The sequence below is a fragment of the Homo sapiens genome, chromosome 6 (genome assembly GCF_000001405.40).
Source record: "Homo sapiens chromosome 6, GRCh38.p14 Primary Assembly".
Lineage (NCBI taxonomy): Eukaryota > Metazoa > Chordata > Mammalia > Primates > Hominidae > Homo > Homo sapiens.
The window spans coordinates 112,392,137-112,396,718 of NC_000006.12; the positions used below are offsets into that span (position 1 = coordinate 112,392,137).

A 4,582-nucleotide genomic window follows, 5' to 3' on the forward strand; every position below is an offset into this window, starting at 1 on the left:
CCCCACTTTGTGTCTGATAGAAAGGGTGACTGGGATTATGGAAGATATGGAAAGGATAGTGAACTTTGATATACCTTGGTACTTTTCATGGCTTTGAAGGAGCCCAAGCAAAACCTTTTTAAAGGGTTAGTTGTCCAATATCAGTGAAGTATGTGGAGTGAAGATCAGGAGGAGTAAGCTTTCCCTGAAAGATTTTTGCTCTCACTACAGACATTGTTCTACTAAATTCAGGGACTACAACATTTTTAGACTTTAATAGATAATATGAGTGACTTATAAACAACTATGTCCAAATTTCCAAGCTTTTCTTGATTTAACTCAAAGTTATCAAATGCAGGAATGTGGGTTAGGGTTCTTACTGGAGGGATGGAAGCCCTGGACAGACCCACACACTGAAGGAGGTGAAGGTCACTAGTCCACAGACTCGAGGTCCACATAACAACATGCTGCGGTGAGTCAGTTGCTCCTCTAGGAGAAAAAAGCTTTACCTCGATGGTATTTTTCTGGCTGTCACACACCTCCAGTTGAAAGGCAAGTTGTCATGAATGTTCATCTGCAGAGCACTACTGCTTGCCTCAGAACCTCCAGCAGAGGAATGACCTGGGTCTATTGTTTCATCTCTACTCCATCATGGACTCTGGGATACTTGGCAGCATCTCAGTATCTTGCTTCCCTTCTGTGTCTCTTCACTTCCTTTTGACTGTGATGAATGTGTTTCAGGTACTGCCTGTAATAAGAATGAAGAGATCTACAGCTCATCTTCTGCCAAGTGACGGGATTATTATAAACACTAAATATTAAGACTCATTTGACTGTCTGCTGCCTTCACTACCTGCAACCCACCCTACTCTACCCAATCCAAGGAAAGAAAGAAAGAGAAGAAGGAAGAAAAAATAAGGAACAAAGAAGCAGAGAAAGAGACTTGCATAGTTCACATGTGAATCTATACAAAAACATTTTAATAAAATATTTAATTTCACCACACAGAAAACTAGAACTGTCAAGCAATTTACTGCTAGACTCTGTGAAGAGTAAATCTGTGAAGACTTTTACTCATAATGCCAATGGAAATAGATTGAGAAAACGATCACTGATTTATGTAAGCTGGGATTCCAAGCAAATCTGCTGGTCTGAAAGATATCAGGATGATTGTTGCTGTCTCATTGGTTGTCAGAACTCTAGTTTGGGAACACGGGATCCGCTTAAAACCTGGACTACTCTCTCGCTGTTTGGGGCAACTTGCACCAACATCTAGGCATTAATTGGCTGTGAAAATAAAGACCATGAGACCCCTGCAACCCCAAACCCTGGAGCCTCATCAGTCAGGCTCCTTACCATTATTTCCCTCCTCTTATAAACCTTTCCTTCATTTCTGTGCTTCCAAACCCCACAAAATAGAAAATTATCCTACAATTGCAGTTGCAGTTGCAATTAATTATCCTATTAATTGCAGTTGCTGATTAATTGTTGATGGCAAAGTGAAAGCCATTGAAAAATAGAGTGAGTGAATATTCAGGATATTTGGCTGTAAGACCATGATGGTATCTCAAATAATGGGGATTTATTATTAAGTTACTGATGTGGCAGTAATGGAGATGGGGTTTTACAAAGTCTGTGAAGAGCTAGGTCATTCCAAAGGAACAGGGGCCATGCTTACAGACACAATTTAGAGGCTACACTAGAAGGAAGAGTCATTCAAGATTCAAGGCTTCTCTGTGGAACCAGGCTTTATGGGGCCTGCTCAGGCCTTCAATTCTCTGCTGGGTTCCCTCTGATTTTGTGACTTCTGCTTAACTATCATCCTCTACTCACAGATTTACTCTATGGTATACTTTTTGTTGACTCAAAGTTTCTGCTTACTTGTAATTTGGCTCCTCTGTGGTTCTTCAGCTTCATGTCTGCTTTTGCTGTTTTTCTTAAATTTCCTGCTCCTGCTTTTCAGAGTCCTCTGTCTTTCACACTAATATTTCTGCCATATTAAAGGAAGATACTTTGCGCAAGACAATTACCATGATTCCTGTTGAGCAGAACGTTTCTTTTGGTTTGTTTTTGTTTTGACGACAAATGGTTTTTTAAAAATTGTGGTAACATTTATATAAGGTAAAACTCATCTTTTTAGCCTTTTTAAAGTGTATAATTCATTGACATTTAATGCATTCACAATTGTTGTACAAACATTACCACTATCTAGTTTTAGAGCATTTTCATCACCACAAATGGAAACCCCATACCCATTAATCAATGACTCCTCATTTTTCCCTTCCCCAAGTCACTGGCAATCACTAATCTTTTCCTTCTCTGTGTATTTGCCTATTCTGGACATTTTATATAAATGGAATCATACGACATGAACTTCTGTGTCTGGTTTCTTTCACTTCACATAATGTTTACAGGTTCATCTATGGAGCATGTGTCAGTACTTCATTTCTTTTTTATAACTAAATAATATTCCATTGTATGGATATTTTGTTTGGCCATTTATTGTTTTGTGGATGTTTGGATTATTTCCACCTTTTGGTTCCTGTGAATAATGCTGCTATAAACATTCATGTACAAGTTCCTGTTTGAACACCTGTTTTAAGTTCTTTCAGGTATATACCTAGGTGTAGAGTTGCAAGGTCATATGGTAGTTTTGTTTTTAACTTATTGAGGAACTGCTGAACTGCTTTTCAAAGTAACAGTACCATTCTACATTCCCATTAGCAATGTATGAGAGTTCTAATTTCTCCATATACTTACTAGCACTTGTTACTTCCCACTGCTTTTTAGAAAAGAGCCTTCTTAGTGTGAAGTGGTATCACCAAGTACTTTTTCTAAAGCTTAATTTAATTTTTAAAAATTGACATTCAATAATTGTACATATTTATGTAGTACATAGTGCTGTTTTGATACATACAATGTATAGTGATCAGATGGGGGTAATTAGCATATTAATTCTTTTTGTTGAGAACATTCAATAACTATAGTCATCCTACAGTGGTATAGAACAGTAGCAATTATTTCTCCTATTTAGTTGTAATTTTGTATCCTTTAACAAATCTCTCCCTATTCCCCCATTTTCTCTACTCTTTTCAGTATCTGCTATCCTCTGTTCTACTTTTAACAGCTGTTTTCAGCATCTACATATGAGTGAGAATATGCAGTGTTTAACTTTCCTTTTGTGGTTAATTTCACTTAGCATAATGTCACCTAGCTCCATCCATATTGCTGTGAATGACAGTATTTATTAATTTTTTATGGCTGAATGGTATTCCATTGTGCATATACACAGCATTTTCTTTATCCATTCATCTCTTGTTGGACACCTAAGTTGATTCCATAGCTTGGCTATTGTGAATAGGGCTGCGATAAACATGGAGGTACAGATATCTCTTTGATATACTAATTTCCTTTTCTTTAGATATATATACCCTGCAGTAGGATTGCTGGATCATATGCTAGTTCTATTGGTAGTTTTTTTGAAGAACCTCTATACCGTTCTTGATATTGGTTGTACTAGCTTACATTCCCACCAACAGTGTATGAGTTCCCTTTTATCCACATCCTTACCAGCATTTGTTATTGTTTGTCTTTTTGATAATAACCATCCTAACTAGGGTGAAATGATATCTGTTGGCCATTTGTATGTCTTCTTTTGAGAAACGTCTGTTCAGACCATTTGTCCATGTTTTAATTGGATTTTTTGTTTTTTTTGCTGTTGAGATGTTTGAGTTCCTTGTATATTCTGGATGTTAATCCCCTGTTGAATGAATAGTTTGCAAATATTTGCTTCCATTCCGTAGGTTGTCTTTTCACTTTGTTGGTTGTTTTCTTTGATGTGCAGATGTTTTGTAGTTTTATATAATCTCATTTCTTTCTGTTTGTTTTGCTTTTGTAGCCTGTGCTTTTGAGGTCTTATTCATAAAAATCTCTTCCCAGACCAATGTCCTAAAACACTTTCCCTATGTTTTCTTTTTAATTATTTCATAGTTCCTGGTCTTACATTTAGGTCTTTGATCCATTTTGAGTTGATTTTTGTATGGAGTGACAAATGGGGTCTAATTTCTGCTTAGATTAAAAGAAAACCCCGGAGTTGTCTTCGATTTTCTTTTGATTCCATATAGCTGCATCACCACAAATGGCCCTACTTTGAATATATACCTGGAATTTGACCAGCTCTCCTCACCTCCACTGCTTCCACTTTGGTCTGAGTCACCATCATCTCTTGCTCCTCTACAGTTGTTTCTCTATCCTGTCACTCCACTGCTGGCAGCTGCCTATTAGCTTTCAGTCTCACTAAAAATAAACATTCCAGATTCCAAATCATAAAAGTCCCTGATTGGATGCCAACCCTTTCTATGATGTAATCTCCTCTCTTTCTCTAACTTCTTTCCACCCAGGCAGAGTAATCTGGATTTTACTTAGGCATAAACTTTTCCTCCATCTATGGTTTACTTTTGCTTTTCTCTTTTCCTGGAACACTTGTCTTCTCCCATCAGCTTCTTTTTTTTGTTATTCAGGTCCCTGTTCAAATATTATTCCTCAAGGTGGCCTTCTTCAACTACCTTAGATAAACTTTTCCTTTCCCAACCTCATTCTCCTT

At 37.2% G+C, this 4,582-nt stretch overlaps 1 long non-coding RNA gene across 3 annotated transcripts; it reads right to left on the minus strand.

The window, feature by feature from the left end:
- Positions 1–226: 226 nt before the first annotated feature.
- LOC101927664 (uncharacterized) lies at positions 227–4,264 on the minus strand. Of its 3 annotated transcripts, none has more exons than XR_245572.4 (3): positions 4,166–4,264; positions 1,861–2,017; positions 227–727 (listed from the first exon to the last, which is right to left on the minus strand). It is a non-coding gene; the product is annotated as an uncharacterized LOC101927664 (long non-coding RNA). The 3 variants fall into 3 exon arrangements; XR_942881.3 differs by having other exon boundaries at positions 4,141–4,264; XR_942882.3 differs by lacking the exon at positions 4,166–4,264 and adding an exon at positions 3,550–3,586.
- Between the last annotated feature and the right edge of the window lie 318 nt (positions 4,265–4,582).